This window comes from Homo sapiens, chromosome 6 (assembly GCF_000001405.40).
Source record: "Homo sapiens chromosome 6, GRCh38.p14 Primary Assembly".
Lineage (NCBI taxonomy): Eukaryota > Metazoa > Chordata > Mammalia > Primates > Hominidae > Homo > Homo sapiens.
Genome location: NC_000006.12, coordinates 19,067,669 through 19,087,148, shown reverse-complemented (window position 1 = coordinate 19,087,148; position 19,480 = coordinate 19,067,669). Strand labels below are relative to the sequence as shown.

Here is a 19,480-nt window from a genome sequence, read left to right as displayed (position 1 = left end):
ATTATCTATTGATGTACATGTATTGTTTGACTCTAATGGTGTGGAAATTAAATGTTAGACATGAGCCAGATGTTCCTATAGATGAATATGAAGTATGACTCTGGCATAGTTATGTCTAATCAGGACAGAGAGGAAGAATGCAATAACCAAACGATAATAATAACCACCCAAGAATGCCCTGATATTGGTCTCCAGTAAGAACTCACACCATGCAAGCCTAGATCCTTAGTCCCTACCTTTGAGGAGTGTTCTAAATGTCAGCAGTATTTGCACCTGTTCATGAGGAAAGCGATGTTCTTTCCTAAAATACAGAATAAAATAAAGTTGTGAATATACCACTATTTGGAGGGGTGTCCAGAGACAGTAAATATATGTCATCTTTACTTAGCAAACATGAGCAGCTTAATTTGGCACCTCCACAGGACCATGAGATTCCACGGGTCATTCCTCTGCTCTGCGCAGTTCACAGCAGGGTGGGAGGAATATGTGACTTGGGGGAAGGGAAATGGCAAACAAATAGGCCTTACGGTGAATTTTAATGAAGATTCCCTGCTGGCTTTAGCCCCATTGGGAAAAAGAAAAAAAGAAAGAAAAAGAAACCCATAATCTCCTATTTGAGGTTAAGTTACAAATGGGATAATGATTCAAATAGTAGCAACATCTCACAAGAATGAGGTGGGGTTAGGAGGGTATATAGGATGTTTGCTACTGCTGCTGCTTCTACTAGTGCTAACTAGATTACTAATAATATGTAGCTATATCTTTGAAAATAATCAGAGAGATGGTGATAGAAGACAAATACATCGCATCATCATCCACTCAGTGAGAAATGGCTTTTGCAGATTTGTGCTGATGGATCTAAGGTGTGCACCTCTGGAGGCTTTGAGGTGGCTATACTTCAGTTGTGGATAAAGAGGTGAAGAAGGACATCTATGGTGATGCTCAGTAATATCTGCGAAGAACTGTGGAGACAGACAAATAGTCAAAGGTGAGGTCAGTGCTTGCAAGTATCTTCTTTTAAAAGAGTTGCCGAATACCAAGAGGAACATCATGGGAAAAATGCAACATGAAGAAAGAGGAGAATTTATCACTGCAAGAGTTATTTCAGCTGCAAGTGTTGCTATCAATTTTTTCCCTCTCTAGTGGTTCATTTGAAATATGGGATAGTGAGGGATTCATTGCTTTGTGCATTGGAGGTTTGTTTGTGTGTTCATTTTCATTAACAGTCATATTTCCTTTCTGATTTATGTGAATTCTTTTTTTTCTTTGTTTGGCATTGTTTCTGATTTTTAGCCCTATAAACACTGATTTCTCAGGAGTAACCTAATTTCTATCTTTTTCTTTTTTATTTCCATATTATGTCACTTTACAAAAACAAAAAATTGGTGTCTTGAAAATCTTTTCCTTATTAATCATAAAGGTAAAGTAGAGTTTCTCTCTAATGTGGGTTTTGCACTCAGATGAATGTTATACCTTCTGGATCTCTCTCTCAAGCTATGTGTAAGCAGAAACCTATTGTTTTTCCATTTAACAGTATGATTGATTACATATTTAATTCATTCCTGTTGTCATCAGTTCCAGGCAAATTAAAAGTGTGTATTTCTGCCTGTCAGGATAATGGAGGCACTGGAAATAACTTTCTAGAACCCTCATATTTTGGATAAAATTGCTTTCATTCTCCTTAGCGCTGGAAGTTTCCTCTTATCATCTAATCAAATCCACTGTCATCATAGAAGTAGATTATTTGCAGAATTTCCCTTGATAGGTTGATGTTGGCATTTTTTGTGCCGGGTTATTTTGCCAAATTAAAAAAATGGATACTTTCTGTGTTAAGCACAAACTCCGTCTTGCTCTTGGATTGGCCATTTCTTCTAGACTCACACTCCTTCAGCACTGGCAGAGTAAGTGGATGGTGGGCCCAGGACAAAAGGCAAAAGGAGGCCACTTTGCCCAGCATTTGCCTCCTCAAAGAGAGTCACTGGCAGAATCTAGACTAATTCACTAGTTATTTTATTGGGGTTGAAGGCTGAAGCCCTAATTGCCCTTGTGCTCTAGACAATTACTTCCTTTGAGGTCCTGAAGGAGAAGATGACCATGGCAGGATAGGATGGGAACCCAGGATCCTGAGTGATGTTCGGATATTAAGTATTGTATAGCTAGAGTAGTATTTGAGTAAAGAACATAAATTTGAGAGTTAGGCTCAAAATGGAGTCACATCGTTATCACTTACTAGCTGTGTGGTCATGGTCAAGTTGTTTATACTCAGTCAACCTCAGCTTTCTCATCTGTCCAATATATGTGATTATAGTTACTACTTTATAGCAGTGGTGTATTAAATGAGATACTCTATATAAAAATGTTCAGCTCAGGGCCCAGTACAAGGTACACCCTCAATACACATTATCTGCTATTAGTAGAACATTAATAATAATCATAATACCATTAGTGAAAGTTAGAAAGAAGGATTAATTTTAAAAATTCAGTCAGACACTTGGGCTGTTTGGGACAGTCAGATAAAATCAAGCATCGACAAACTCCCTCTTCTACTTTATTTTCCATGTCAGATTTATCATGATCCCTGTGAAATAGGCACCACATGTTTTATTAGGTGATCATGACCATTCAGTATTTACTTTGGGTTTAGTTGGAACAGACTTAATATTTTTGGAAAATTAATTTTTATTTTTCAACCCCACTGTAACTGGTCAGTACCTTTCAGTTAAATCAATAAAATTAATCAGGTATGTAATCTAATGATATAGAGGCTGCATGATAAATACAAGCATTTTTCCTAAATCCAACAAATCTTGGTAAATTGCAGTCTTGCAATGTAATTGGGAAATTGAGGGTAACATATGAAATAATAGTGCAAAAATAAAAACTATGCCATGTACAAGAACTTTGCCTTTAAGACTATTTTGGGATGTACCTTTCCAACTATGTCTTGTTTTTTTGTTACTGTTTTTCTATGAGAATTCTGGACCTGTTGTAATTGCTTACTTTCTTATCAAACACTGTTTGCTTAGATTTGCCCAGAAATTATTATATTTGAAGTCTGTCTTTATGTCAACCCAGAATATAAAACTTCCATTTGACCTGTGACATCACTATTATTTTAAGGACTTAGGTTTGGCAGCTTGCCCATAATTTTTCTAACTTTTGACCTTGGCCTCCATTTTTAGCTTTGCTGTTCTTAATTTCACACTGACAATTCCAAAAGACATTGCCCAACATATTGGTATTGGCATGGCATTTATATTATGTTTTACAGTTTATCAAGGGTTCTCTCATGTAATCGGTTTAGTCAAATGTATGATAAGGCACTGAATTATGTAGTGTATAAAGGGCAGGAGTTTTAAGAGTACAGATAAAACAAATCAGTATATGATGGAGTAGGGAAGATTTTATAAAATGGGGAGAATGGAACTGGGCATTGAAAGTGGGGTGAGATAGTGTTTATATTTCATAACATCTAACTTTATTAATTTTCTTTTAATTTAGTTTTTATATAACATATGAACATATGTTCCTTATATAACATTCAAAGAAAACAAAATATATACAGTCTTCCCTTAAAAATCTTCCCAATACTGTACCCTTCTTCAGAAGTAGCTACTGTTAAGAGTTCAACATACATCACTTTAGTTCTTAAGCATTTTCACACATAAATGTGTACATGGATAAGCAAACATTTTAAATAGATGGGCCTATATTCTATTTTATCCTACAACCTTATTTTCTCCATTGACAGTATCACTTGATAATTTTTTTCTTATGCATTTTTGTATGCCATAATTATTTTTCAGGTACCATAAAATTTACTCTTAAGTTAAACACTCAGTGGGTTTCAGCACTTTCACAAAGTTGTGCAGCCATCAATAATACTAATTACAGAACATTGTCATCAACCAAAAACAAACAAGGAAACTTCTTTATTATTCTTCCCTTCCCCAAACCTCAGGTAAACACTAATCTAATTCTGCGTGTAAGAATTCGCTTGCTATTGGCATTTTACATGAGTAGAATCTGTGGCCTTTGGCATCTGCCTTTTCTCACATAGCATGTGTTCAAGGCCTATCCACGTTGTAGCATATATCAGTAATTCATTCATTTTTATGGCTGAATAATACACCATTGTGTATATATACCAAATTTTGTTTATCCATTTACAATTAATGGACATTTGTGTTGTTTCTACTTTTTAGGTATTATGAATAATGCTGCTATGACTATTCATGTACAAGTGTTGATATGGATACATTTTATGTACATTTGTTTTCATCTCTCTTGCATATGTGCCTAGGATTGGAATTGTTGGGTCACATTGTAGAACCCGGTTTCAGGCATGGTAACACTAGCTTTAAGAAACTGCCATACTGTTTCTCAATGTGGCTACACCATTTTACAGTCCCATCAGATATACTGGAAGATAACCACACATCCTTGTTATTGTCTGTTTTTCTGATAATAGCCTCTAGTGGGGGTGAAGCAGCACCTCATTGTGGTTTTGGTTTACATTTGGAATAATGATGTTGAGCATCTGTTCATGTGCTTATGGGAATGTGTGTATCATCATCGGAGAAATGTCTCTTCACACCCTTTGTCCGTTTTGTTGTTGAGTTATAAGAGTTCTTTATTCTGGATACTAGATCCTTATCTGGTATACAACTTGCAAAGAGGTTGTCTTTTCACTTTCTTGATAATGTCCTTTGATGTACATTTTTACATTGTTTAGTGAAGTCTAACATTTTTTGTTTTTACTTGTACTTTTGATATTATATGTAAGAAACCATTGCCTAACTCAAGGTCATGAAGATTTGTGCATATCTTTTCTCATAAGAGTTTAGAGTCTAAGCTATTGCTTTTAGATTTTTCATCCATTCTGATTTAACTTTGGCAGAAGGCGTGAGATAATTTTAGAATCGGCTTGCAACTTTCTGGAAATAAATCAGCTGGGATTTTGATAGGAATTGTGTTGAATGTGTAGATCAATTTGAGTATTGCCATCTTAACAATATTCTTTCATTCTATGAACATAAGGTTTTTAAAATTTATTTAGTCTTTGTTAGTTTGCTACTTTCAATGATGTTTTACAGTATTTGGTGCGTAAGTCTTACACTTCTTACACTTTTAAAATTATATTATTAATATATTCTCTTTGACACTATTGTAAATGAAATTGTTTTCTTAATTTTATTTTCAGATTGTTCATTACCAGTGTATAGAAATACAATTGGCTTTGGTGTGTTAATTTTGTATATTGCACCCTTGTACAACTTGTTTTTAGCTGTTTTTGTTTTCTTTTGTTCTGTTTTTGTGAAATCCTTGAGATTTTTAAATAGAAAAAAAAAGTCATAGAGATTGTTTTACTCTTTTCTTCCTAATCTATATATCTGTGTTTTATAGTCTTGCTTAAATGCCCTGACTAGGACCTCACTTACAATATTAGATAAAAGTAGCAAGAACAGACATCCTCGTTTTGCTCCTGACCATAGGGAGCATGTAGGTAGGTTTATCATAAATATGCTTTATCTGATTGAGGAAGTTATTTTATATTCCTAGTTTGTTAAGGGTTTTTATCACAGAAATGTGTTACATTTTGTCACATGATTTTCTTGCATTCATTGAGATAAAAATGTATTTTTTGTTATTTATTGTATTCATATAAGATATTACCTTGATGGGTTTTCGTATGTTGAAACAATTACGAGTTCTTGGGATAAAACGAACATGGTCATTGCGTACAATTCATTGTAAATGCTGCTGTATTTGGTTTGCTAGCATTTTGTTGAAGATCTACAGTCATAAAATATATTGGCCTGTAGTGTTTTTTTTTTCCCTTGTGATGTCTGCATCTGATTTTGATAGCAGGGTAATACTGACATCATGGAATGAGTTGGGAAGTGTTTCCTCCCCTTCAGATTTGCTTATGGGCTCTTTATTTTTTCAGAAGAGTTTGTGAAAGATTGGTATAAATTCTTCTTTAAGCCTTTGGTAGAATTCACTGATGACAACTGGTCCTGAAATTTTATTTGTGAGAAGTTTTTTGATTACGAATTCAATCACCTTACTTGTTCTAGGCCTCCTCATTGGAAAAAAAAATTAGGTCAGTTTTGGTAGTTTGTGTCATTCTCAGAATTTGTCCATTTCATCTAGAATATTGAATTTGTTGGCATACAGTAAATTTTGTATATAGATGTAACTCATTCTTCTAAATTTCTTGGTGATATTCTGTGGCATGGATATGCCTTAATTTGTTTAGCTGTAAACAGTTTTTCTCCTGATTTTCCCTATTATGGGCAGTGTTACAAGTAACAAAAAACAAATTGGTCTCATATATTTGAGCATTTTTTTGGCTAGTGATTTATTCTCAGACTTTTATCTTTCTCTTATAATATATATGCAATATTGATGTTTTAGGCATTCTGTTTCTTTAGCTTTTCAGGCTATTATGTTTAATCACATAATTTTCTCACTTTCATGTCACATAGAAGAGGCAATATTAAGTGTTCTCCAAATTCTGTTTTATTTTCCACTTCTTAAACACACAGGAATACTGTACTCCCTCCATTCTCTTGCAGTTAGACCAGGGCGACGTGACTATTTCTGGTGAACAGGCTACCCACACTGGGGTTTTTCACTTTTAGTCCAGTGGAAAAAATAAGCAAGAACGAGTCCTCTATATCAGCAATCCCCAAACTTTTTGATACCAGGGACTGGTTTCAAGGAAGGCAAGTTTTCCACAGTAATGGTTTCACGATGAAACTTGATGTTCCACTTCAGATCATCAAGCATTAGATGCTCATAAGGAGCATGCAACCTAGATTCGGCGCATGTGTGCAGTTCACAATAGGGTTCACGCTCCAGGAGAATCCAATGTTCCTGCTGATCTGACAGGAGGTGGAGTTCAGGTGGTAATGCTTGATGGCTCGCTTGCTCACCTCCTGCTGTGCAGCCCAGTTCCTAACAGGCCACAGACCGGTACTGGCCTGCAGCTCAGGGGTTGGGGATCCCTGCTCTCCATTCTTTCTTCCTTTGTTTGGATGATTGTTGGGATCGCCTAATAAGATGGCAGAGTTACAAGATGGTGGCTGTCTGGCTCTTTGAGCAACGGCTTTGGAAGAGCTTTTTTTTTTTTTTTTTCTGAGACGGAGTCTCGCTCTGTCGCCCAGGCTGGAGTGCAGTGGCACCATCTCGGCTCACTGCAAGCTCCACCTTCCGGGTTCACGCCATTCTCCTGCCTCAGCCTCCCGAGTAGCTGGGACTACAGGTGCCCGCCACCACGCCCAGCTTATTTTGTGTGTGTGTGTTTTTAGTAGAGAAGGGGTTTCACCGTGTTAGCCAGGATGGTCTCGATCTCCTGACCTTGTGATCTGCCCGCCTCGGCCTCCCAAAGTGCTGGGATTACAGGCTTGAGCCACCGCACCCGGCCGGAAGAGCTTCTTATACCAGGAGGAGCTTCCTGACTTATCAGGCTTTGTTGTACTGATATTGAGACTCTGGGATAATTTGCTACCATCACAGGACCTCGCTAATCCTGACTGATAGAGATAAGTATCCATTTACTCCTGTAATCCTTACCAGCCTTCATTCATTTTGCTTTCTTCTTCCGTCTTTCCCTAGACAATCTCCTCCCGCTGTGTACAGCAACTATGTGGTGAACTATTTGTTCTATTTGTTAAACAAAAGAAGTGATGGCTAGAAGATAGAATAGGTGGGGCTTAAAAATTATGGTGGGAAAAGGAAACTTAACATTTTTCTTGGAAGTAACAAAGAAGCTCAAATCTCAGCTACTTAGGATTGTCTCAGAAGTCTGACTAAAGCTGATTTTCTTTGCCCTTCACTATGTAGTAGGAGACTTGTGTTTTTTAAAATATTTGCTTTTTTTGGATACATAAGAGTTACACACATTTATGGGGTACATGTGGTATTTTGATACAAGCATACAATGTGTAATGATTAAATCCAGGAAACTGAAGTATCCATTATCTTAAACATTTATCATTTCTGTGTGTTGGAAACATTCCAAATTTTCTTTGCTATTTTTAAATAGTCAATAAGTTGTTATTATTGACTATAGTCACCCTACTGTGCTATCAAACACTAGGTAGTATTCCTTCTATCCCCTGCCCTCACAAACCTTTTAGCTACCAGAGGTAGCCACCAGTCTATCCACTACTTTTATGAGATCTATGTTTTTAGCTCCCAGTTATGAGTAAGAACATGTGATATTTGTCTCTCTGTGCCTGGCTTATTTCACTTAACATAATGTCCTCCAGTTCAGTCCATGTCACTGTAAATGATAGGATTTCATTCTTTTCTTTATGGATGAATAATATTCCATTGCCTATGTATATACACCACATTTTCTTTTTATCCATTAATCCATCGATGGACCCTTAGGTTGATTCCATATCTTGACTATTGTGAATAGCGCTGCAAAAATAAAGAGGGGGTTGTTTAGATATCTCTTCAATATACTGATTTCCATTCTTTTGGATATATACCCAGCAATAGGATTGCTAGATCATATGGTAGTTATATTTTTAGTTTTGGAGGAGCCTCTATATTATTTTTCATAGTGGCTGTGCTAATTTACATTCCCACTAACAGTGTGCAAATGTTCCCCTTTCTCTACATCTTTGGTAGCATTTATTTTATCTATTTTGATAACACATTTTAACTGGGGTGAGATGGTATCTGATTTTGATTTTGATTTCCTTGATGATGTTGAGCATTTTTTCATATACCTGTTGGCCATTTGTCTTCTTTTGAGAAATGCCTGTTAAGGTCTTTTGCCCATTTTTAATCAGATTATTTGGAAGGTTTTTTTTGTTGTTGTTTTTTTTTTGTTTTTTTGTTTTTGCTATTGAGTTTTGAGTTACTTATATATTCTGATTAGTAGTCCATTTTTGGATAGTTTGCAAATATTCTTTACTAATTTTGTATATGGTGGGAGATGGGGCCTAATTCTTCTAATTCAACCTAATTCTGTAGGTGGTTTCTTCACTCTGTTGGTTGCTTCCTTTGCTGTACAGAAGCTTTTTAGCTTGATATGATCCCATTTGTCAATTTTGTAATTGGTGAGATAGGAATCTAATCTTATTGTTCTGCATATGGATATCCAGTTTTCTCAGCACCGTTTATAGAAAATACTGTCCTTTCCTTAATGTATATTTTTAACAACTTTGTCAAAAATGACTTGGCTGTAAATGCAAGGAATTATTTATGGGTTCTCTATTCTGTTTTATTGGTCTATATGTCTGTTTTTATGCCAGTGCTATGTTTTGGTTACCATAGATTTGTAGTATATTTCAAAGTATAGTATTGTGATGTTTCCTGCTTTGTTCTTTTTGCTCAGGATTGCTTTGGCTATTTGGGGTCTTTTCTGGTTCCACGTGAATTTTAGGATTGTTTTTTCTATTTCCGTGAAGAATGTCATTGGTATGTGACAGGGATTGCATTGAATCTGTAGGTTGCTTTGAGTAGTATGAACATTTAAATAGTATTAATTCTTCTAATCCATAACATGAGATATCTTTCTTTTTTGTGCATTTTCTTCAATTTCTTTCATCAGTGTTTAGTAGTTTTTATTGTAGAGATAAAAACTTTAGTCAAGTTTATTTCTAGGTATTTTTTGTGGCTATCGTAAAAAGGATTGCTTTCTTGATTTCTTTTCCACATCCTTCACTGTTGGCGTATAGAAATGCTAATGATTCTTGTATCCTGCAAATTTACTGAATTAATTTATCAGTTCTACCAGTTTTTTTGGTAAAGTCTTTAAGTTTCTCTAAATATAAAGACACAAACAAGGACAACTTAAATTCTTCCTTTCCAGTTTAAATGCCCTTTATTTCTTTTTCCTGTCTAATTGCCCTGGCTAGGACTTCTGGTACCATGTTGAATAAAAGTGGTAAAAGTGGGCATCCTTGTCTTGTTCCAGATCTTAGAGGAAATGCCTTCAGCCTTTCCCCATTCAGTATGACATGAACCGTGGGTTTGTTTTATATGACTTTTGTCAAGTTGAGGTATGTTTCCTTTATACCCAGTTTGCTGCAAGTAATTTTATGAAAGGATGTTAAATTTTATGTTTTTCCAACATTGATTGAAATGATTTTTGTCCTTCATTCTGTTATGTGATGTATCCTTCATTCTATTATGTGATGTATTATGTTGATTGAATTGTGTATGTTGAAACGTCATTCTGTCCCTGAGATGAATCTCATTTAGTTGTGTTAATGATCTTTTTTTTTTTTTTTTTTTTTTTTTTTTTTTTTTTTTGTGAGACGGAGTCTCGCTCTATCGCCCAGGCTGGAGTGCAGTGGCGCGATCTCGGCTCAGTGTAAACTCCGCCTCCCAGGTTCACGCCATTCTCCTGTCTCAGCTTCCTGAGTAGCTGGGACTGTAGGCATCCGCCACCACGCCCGGCTAAGTTTTTGTTTTTCTAGTAGAGACAGAGTTTCACTGTGTTAGCCAGGATGGTCTCGATCTCCTGACCTCGTGATCCACCTGCCTTGGCCTCCCAAAGTGCTAGGATTACAGGTGTGAGCCACTGAGCCTGGCCTTAATGATCTTTTTAATGTGTTGGTAAAGTTGGTTTGTTAGTTTTTTGAGGAGTTTTGCATCTATGTTGATCAGGGATATTGGCCTGTAGTTTTTGTTGTTGTCGAGTCTCTGTCTGGTTTTTGGTATCAGGGTAATAATAGCCATCTAGAACGAGTTTGGAAGTATTCCTTCCTCTTCAGTGTTTTGAAGAGGTTGAGTAGGATCGGTATTGTTTTTTCTTTAAATGTTTCATAGAATTCAACAGGGAAGCCATCAGTTCCTCACCTTTTCTTTGATGGGAGACTTTTTATTACTACTTCTATTTCATTACTCATTATTGGTCTGTGCAGGTTTTCTATTTGTTTATGGAACAACCTTCATAGGTTGTATGTGTCTAGACTAAATTTATCCATTTCTATTATGTTTTCTAACTTATTGGCATATAGATGCTCGTCACAGTCTATAACGGTTCTTTGCATTTCTGTGCTATCAGTTGTCTTCTTTTTGTCTCCAATTTTATTAGTTCTTCTCTTTTTCTTCTTAGTCTGGCTAAAACTTTCCAAATTTTCTTTCTTTTCAAAAACCCAACTTATTTTGTTGATCTATTTTTTAGTCTCAATTTTATTTATTTCTGTTTTGACATTATTTCTTGTCTTCTACTAATTTTAGGTTGGTTTAGGTTTAGCTCTTTAAGGTGTGCCATTAATTGTTTATTTGAAGTCTTCCTACTTTATGATGTAGTCATTTATAATGAAAAACTTCCCACTTAGTACTGCTTTTGCTGTATTCCACAGGTTTTGGTTTGTTTTCTTTCCATTTTTATTTGTTTCAATAAAATTTTAAATTTTCTTCTTAATTTCTTTGTTGACCCATTAATGGTTCAAGAACAAGTTGTTTAATTTTCATGTATTTTTATAGTTTCCAAAGTTCTTCTTGTTATTGATTTAGAGTATTATTCTACTTTAGTCAAAAAAAAAACTTGATATGATTTTGATATTTCTGAATTTGTTAAGACTTGTTTTGCGGCCTAACTTATAGTCGATCCTGGAGAATGTTCCATGTGCTGATGAGAAGAATATGTTTTCTGCATCTATTTGGTGAAATGTTCTATAAATATCAGTTAAGTTGATTTAGCCTAGCATGTAGCTTAATTCCAATATTTCTTTGCTGATTTTCTGACTGGATGATCTGTCCATTGCTGAAACTGGGTTGTTGAAGTCCTCTGCTATCATTGTATTGTAGTCTGTCTTTAATACTCGCTTTAAATGTCTGGGTGATGTATTAGTCTGTTCTTGCATTGCTATAAAGAAATACCTGAGACTGAGTGGGTTATAAAGAAAAGAGGCTTAATTGGCTAATGGTTCTGCAGCCTCTGCAGGAAGCATGGCTGGGGAGGCCTCAGGAAACTTACAATCGTGGCAGAAGGCAAAGGGAAACGAGCACATCTTATGTGGCCAGAACAGAAGGAAGAGAGAAAAAAATGAAGGAGGTAACACACACTTTTAAACATTCAGATCTCATGAGAACTCACTGGCTATACAGTACCAAAGGTGATGTCACTAAACCATTCATAAGAACTCCAACCCCGTGATCTAATCACCTCCCACCAGGTTCCACCTCCAACACTGGGATTACAATTGCACATGAGATTTGTGTGAGGACACAAGTTTAAACCATAACAAGTGCTTTAATTTTGGTTGCATATATAATACAATTGGTTGCATATATATTTAATACAATTAAATACAGTTGTTATATTCTCTTGCTGAAGTGACTTTTTAATCATTATATAATGACCTTTGTCTCTTCTTACAGTTTTTGACTTGAAATGTACTTTAAATATAGCTACTTTTGTTCTTTTTTGGTTTCAATTTGCACAAAATATCTTTTTCCATCTTTACTTATTTATTTTTCATCCATTTTTACTTTCAGTCCACATGTCTTTATAGGTAAAAAGTGAGTTTCTTGTAGAGAGCACATAGTTGTGTCTTATTTCTTTATTCAGCTACTTCATGTCTTTTAACTGGAGAATGTAGTCAATTTATATTCAGTGTCATTATTGACAGGTAAGGACTTACTAATGCCATTTTGCTAGTTGTTTTCCAGTTTTGTAAACCTTCTCTTTCTTTCTTACTGGCTTTGTGGATAAATGATTTTCTCTGGCAGTATGTTTTAATTCATTTTTACTTTTTAGTGTGTCTGTTAGACTTTTGCTTTGTGGTTATAATAATGGTTGAAACAAACATATCAGAATTGTAACAAGTTATTTTAAACTGATGACAACTTAACTTTGATCCCAAAGAAGAAAAGACAGAAGCAAAGAAAAATTAAAATACTCCACAGTTTAACTCCATCCCCCTAGTTTTTGACTTTTTGTTGTGTCTATATATCTTCTTATAATTCCTATCTCTTAACAAACCTGTGTAGTTATTATTTCTTATAGATTTGCCTCTTGGTCTTTATACTAAATATATGCATGGCTTACACACTGCATTGGCAGTATTAGATAATTCTGTGTACTTAACTTTTACCAGTGACTTTTCTACCTTTAGGTGATTTCTTGCTGCATGATAGCATCCTTTTTTTCAGTTGGAAAACTCCCTTTAACATTTCTTATAAGACAGGTATGGTGATGATTAATTCCCTCAGGTTTTGTTCGTCTGGGAAAGTTTTTATTTCTCCTTTGTGTCTGAAAAATAGCTATGCTGGGTACAGTTTCCTTAGTTGGAGCTTTTATTTCCTTTAGCACTTTGGATATGTCATTCCCATTCCCTCCAGGCCTGTAAGGTTTCCTCTGAGAAGTCTATTGCTAGATGTATCAGACCTTAGATGTTATTTGCTTTTATCTTGCTGCTTTTAGGATCCTTTGTTTTTGACTTTTGGGAGTTGATTATATGCCTTGGGATAGTCTTATATGGATTGTGTCTTCTTTGATGTTCTGTGAACTTCTGGTACCTGGATATTAATAATTTTCTATAGGTTTGGAAAGTACTTTGTTATTATTTATTTGAATAAGTTTTCTACCCTGATCTCATTATCTACATCCTCTTTTTGGACAATAACTCTTAAATTTGCCTTTTTGAGACTATTTTTTAGATCTTGTAAGCATACTTTATTCTTTTTAATTATTTTTTATTATCTTCCTATTTTTTAAATAGCTCATCTTTGAGTTCACTAGTTCCTTATTCTGCTTAATTCTGTTAAGACTGTGTTACATTTTTTAGTTTATCTATTGAATTTTTCTGCTCCAGTATTTAAATTTCTTAGATAGATTTATGAATTCCTTCTCTGTGTTATCTTGAAGTTTGCCAAGCTGCCTCAAAATATTTATTTTGAATTCCCTATCTGAGAGGTTATATATCTCTGTCACTCGAGGGTTGTTCACTGGTGCCTTATTTAGTCTGTTTGGTGAGGCAATATTTTCCTGGATGTCCTTCATGCTTATGAACATTTGTCCTTATTTGGGCATTGAAGAGTTAGGTATTTGTTCTAGTCTTCACAGTCTGGCCTTGTTTGTTTGGGACTCAGTTTCCTCCTCCTTGGGTGATGAAGTCTCCTCGGGCCCAGGGCTTGTCTTAATGGCATCAACAGAATTCTGCCCTGTGCTATGTTCTAACTGTGACAGGGTGGGACTGAGTTCCAATGCCAAGTTCCAAACTCACTTTGCTCTGCCTCCTCCAAGCACAGAGTTTCTCTCTTGGCTGTACTGCTGGGAGTGGAGGTAGGGGTAGTGTAGGGAACATCAGAGACTGTCCTTCCTACCCTCTTCAATGTGTCCTTGTTATTATGCTAAACCCAGGTACTCTGATCACTCACCTGATATTTTTGGTTCTTATGAAGGTGCTTTTTGCATGGATAATTGTTTGATTTTATGTTCCTGCAGAGGATGAGGGAGGGAATTTCTGAAGGGTTCTAGTCGGCCATCTTGCTCCACCTCCTTCAATAGGAGTCTTATCTTTGTAGCTTGGTCTTCCCAATAATTTTCTATGGACTTTTAATAATTTTGTCAAAAATTAATTTACCAAAATAATTTTGAAGCAATAATATGACAATTTTAAGTGATAATGCATATTCAACCTAAACTAAATTAAGCCAAACTAAAAACTGGGAAAAAGTTATTAAAAAATTGCATCTAGCAATTTTAATTTGACATGATTTTAATGAAAGCAATAAATTACTTGAAATAGAAATCATTACCATTAATATTCCATATAGATTATTTAAACAACTTTTCTACATATGTGGAGAGGGAAATAAAAATTTAGACAAAATTTTGTAGATGAGAAAGAAAACGACAACATAATTTCTAAGTAATATGCTTGGATAAATGCTGTTTTAAAATAGAAGCTAGTAATTTTAATTTGACATGAATATAATGAAAAATGCAACTAAGGTGAATGAAAAAATTGTAGGACTTCATATTGTCTTCATCATATCAGGTAATAGGTACCAAAATGTCCCTCTAAATTAAAAAAAAATTAATCAATAACTTGTATTCAGCATAGATTTATTTAAATTACATATATTAATTTCAGTAATCATCATTAACTCCTCTGAAAGATGATATAATTAAGAACCTCTATTTCTCTTTTCTTCTGAGTTTGTTGCTTTTATAATATTTAATTTATGATGGTTTTATTATATATCTGTTCTACTCTGCAATAATAATTACCTCAGTTGTTTTATCTTAGGTCATACTTAAATGAAGTAAGTGTTCAGCCACCTGTTATATAACCATGGTTTCCTAATTTCTCTATTCTTTATTATGATTTATCTCTTCATTGGTTGCATTTAATCTCCAAGTAGGGATTTTTAAGTTTCATTGTTGTAAAATTTCATTAAACCTGTTATTTAATGTATAGAAATGCCTTTCTGTTGTATTTATAACTGAAGAGCAATTTGCTATATATAATGGAAACTTTGTTACATTGTTTCTGAAACTCAATATTTATTCTGAGGCCAATCAGATTTCCCACTTGTTATGTAACTTGCTATTTTTTTTTCTGAAACTAAGTGTTTTATCTTGATTTTCCCAGACTCATCAATTTCTGAATGCTTTTATTTTTGAAATTTAATAACTAAATATGTCTTATAGTATTAGCTTTTTATTAACTTTTCTTGGCATTTGCCCTATTAACTGAAATATTTAGTCATTCACTTTACTTTAGGTAAGTTTCCCTCTTTTATATCCCTCATTATTTTCTGTTCTATTTGTTGGTGTCTTTACTTCAGCAGTATCAATAGCCCTATGGTGGATGCACTATAGTTTATATACCTATTGTCTAATTATTTAAACCTATTGTCTATAACTAAATAAATCATTATCTCCATGATGACTTCTGTTTCCTGCTGCTTCTAATTTATACTGTTTGTTTTGTATCAGTTTTTTCTTTTCCTTATAATATTCCTTTTCTCATAATTCTGATCTTTTATTACATTATTGTTTTCCTTGTTTTACTAAATCTATGTCCTTATTGGATTATTCAATAAATGCAAAACACCAGCAAAGGAATTTTAGTTCCTCGGATTGTATATTCTTTCAAATTGGATTATCTGTGTTATGTTTTAAAATCAATGCCTTTCTCCATTTATATATTAATATATTTTTATTTGGGGGCTGTAATATATTTTCATCACTCTCAAACCATTTTTTTCCTCTTGTACCTTTGTTAATATCTTATATTTACTAGGAAATGGTGTATGTGGTTTCTCCTTGACATCACTCTTACCTTATCTGGGATTATTTATCTTCCCCCTGTGTACTAGAAGGTACAGAGAACAGACAGAAGAGAGTGGGAAGCACAGCTGGGACTGATTGCAGTCTTTGAGGAGGTCCTGGGTTTACTCTTCTTGCTGAGATCCCACCAGATGTTCTTCATTGGACTCCATTACACCAAGCTTGGCATGAATTCAAGTCTTTTGGGCTTTGGCTTACTCCCCTAATTTAGCACTGTGTGCTGGAGCAAGAGAATCTATGGCCCTTCCTGCTTCTGCCAAGGTCCAGATGTGATTTGTAGAGCATCCACTAAGTGTTTTATCTTGATTTTCCCAGACCCATCAATTCATCCCTTCAAACCACTCCTTTCAAGTTACAGAGCATTCAGATTCAGGATTTGTGTCACTTCTTATATCCTCAGTTATCCTCAGTGCCACTTCTGGAGGTGGAATAAGAGTTGGGAATTCTGTTGACCTGGCCATGACACCAGAATTTTCTGTTACTTCACTGGTCATCATTTTTGAGGTTATAATCCTTCCCCATTTCTTCCTGCTGATGGGAAAATTGGCAGGGTTGTTTTTGTTTTGCTTTTGTTTATTGGAGGAGGAAGATTCTGTACCATAACTTTACAGACAGCACCACCATCCCACAGATAAATAACTATTTATTTTCAAATGTATTTGTGAGATATGCATCTTAAGAGATTAGAGCAAAGATACTAATGTATAAAAATAAGCAAGCAAGTGCATGAAACACCTAACTTCGATGGCTTGGACTATCAAATATTAACACTTATCAACATTTAGTGTCCATTTTGTACAAAATACTAGGCCTGGTGCTATGAGAGACATAAAGTTGCATAAGTTGGGACAGGAAAATGGAAAGAGGCAAATATGCTTAGACAATTTTATAAGGAAGAATTAATTACTTCCAATAACAAATCACAGACAAAATGTAAAGGTGAGTTAAAGGGGGGAGACAGTATATCCAGTTAAGGGAATATCAAAATGCATAATGGAAAACATGACATTTATAATGTATTCCAAAGATGGTCAGGGATGGGGGCAAGTACATTTAAAGAAAAGAAAGTAAAAGGATAAGCATTAGATATGAAGGTAGAAGAGCATAGAGTGTAGCTAGCAAAGAACAAGCTATATAATATGCAAATAATTTTACACACATTGGAGCAGTGAAAAAAGCTGAAAGTGGAGTATGTAGATGTAGTGTACTTAACTGAATGTCGGAGTGACTTAACTCTGTAAGGTAACGGAGAATAAAAACCACAAGTAGTTAATAAGCAAGAGTACAACATGAATAGACTAGTGAGGATAAACATTAATCTGGCAGCAGGACAGAGGTTGAATCCTGGGAAAGTGGAAAAAATGCTACACTGGGTGTCATGAGATTTAGTCTCTTGGTCCAGCTTTGCCACACTACCCATATGTGTGAGATTAAGTGAATCATTTGACCCCTTTTGGTCCCACTGAGCTCTCTGTAAAATAAAGATGGTGAACTTGGCTTCTAATATTTATTCTAGCTCTAAATAGCATAGGTCTATATATTATAATGATGAAAACATGGGAAATATGGAAACTCTTTAGTATATAGCATAAGTTTGGCAAAAAATACATGGAAAAATAAATTACAATTGAAGTGTTTATAGAAAAAATATTTTATATGCAAGGGAATTTACAAAGGTAGAGTCAAGAAGTCAAAGAAATTGTATGAAAAGATGACTCCAAGTTTCTGATTTGGGCTTATTAGGAGAATACAGATGACTTTCAGAAGAAGTGTGAACATCAAGCTGAGGAGCTTTTTTGAAGAGCAGGATCTTTCTATCAACATGGGATAGTGGAAGATTAAAGTAGTGATGACTACATATAGAAATACAAAGTTGAAGTGAGAGACGCAAGTCTGATACTGCAAAAGAAAAATGTAAGAAACTTAGGACTCAACTTTATCAATGAGTTCGTTCAACTATAGAAATGCACTAGGGACTGAATGGTGTCCCCCCAAAATTTATATGTCAAAGCTCTAATCCTCAATATGATGATCTCCAGAGATGGAACTTTGGGGTGGTAATTGGGTTTAGATGAGGTTATGAGGATGGGGTCCTCATGAAGGGATTAGTGCCCTTATAAGGAGAGGCCAGAGTGCTCACTTGTTCGCATATGCTCTTGTATTCTCTCTCTCTCCTCAACCCCCACCATGTGAGGACACAACAAGAAGATGGTTGTCTACAAGCCAGGAAGAGAACCTTCACAAGGAACCAAATCAGCGGGCACCGTGATCACGAGACTCCCAGCCTCCAGAACTGTGAGAAATAAATGTCTGCTGTTGAAGCCATCCAGTCCACAGTATTTTGTTACAGCAGCCTGAGCAGATTAAAATAAAGAAATGTAACTTGTGAGATAGACAGAAAGGTAAGAAAGAGAAAATGCAACATAAAGTCTATGCTTAAAGGAGCGCTTATTAGTAGTTAAGATGAGCTAGGCAAAATATAAATGGTAGAGAAATGAAAGATGACAACACTCATAACTTGCTCATTCATGCAACAGATACGTGCAGAGTATCTATTGAAGGACCCTGCACTGGTACTTAGGAATCAAACTTAAATCCCACCTTCAAATCTGACAGAGATAAGACATAGACAGACTGTTTTTTATTTGGGTAAATTATTCATACCCATTAAAAGATCTGTAGATAAATGCCTTTGGATTTCTAAGAGGGGAGATATTATTTTCAACTGGGAGAAACACAGGAATATCATTTTATGTACTAAGTAGCATTTGGTGTAGAGCTTATAGAGAAATAGAATGTTCACATGGAGAGAATGCTGTATGGGGAACTCCAGATGGAATAATTGGTATTAGCTCTGGTCCCAGAGTAGTGACTATCTTTGCAGGAAACCTCAGGTGTAATCTTATGGACCTCTGGAAAGACTGTAACAAAATAACTATTTATGGAGATGACTGGCAAAGTTAAGGACACGGACAAGGGACATGAGGGGCCTAGGGACAGGCAACAGTGAGAAGTCACTCCTAGGAAAGAGTGTTCAGGGAGCCAGTGAAGAGTGTAGCCATGTAGAAAGAATGGCCTGACAGAGCATTCATCCTAGAGGGATGCAGCTGCTGCAAGAGCCATGATGCTGATGCAGGAGGAGAAGAGGGAGACAGAAGGAGACAGGAAGAGACAGGAGGAAAAGCCTCAGCCTCTCCC

At 35.3% G+C, this 19,480-nt stretch overlaps 2 long non-coding RNA genes across 2 annotated transcripts in view; one reads left to right on the top strand and one right to left on the bottom strand.

Moving 5' to 3' along the window:
• The window catches only part of LOC101928519 (uncharacterized), a 111,938-nt gene extending 93,332 nt beyond the window's left edge, over positions 1-18,606 (top strand). Inside the window, exons 10-11 of the long non-coding RNA NR_110860.1 lie at positions 778-988; positions 18,026-18,606. This is a non-coding gene — a long non-coding RNA (uncharacterized LOC101928519). The remainder of the gene's footprint in view (positions 1-777; positions 989-18,025) is intronic.
• LOC105374958 (uncharacterized) overlaps positions 1-19,480 on the bottom strand; it is a 119,161-nt gene that overhangs the window by 9,125 nt on the left and 90,556 nt on the right. The window contains exon 4 of the long non-coding RNA XR_001744010.1: positions 237-301. This is a non-coding gene — a long non-coding RNA (uncharacterized LOC105374958). The remainder of the gene's footprint in view (positions 1-236; positions 302-19,480) is intronic.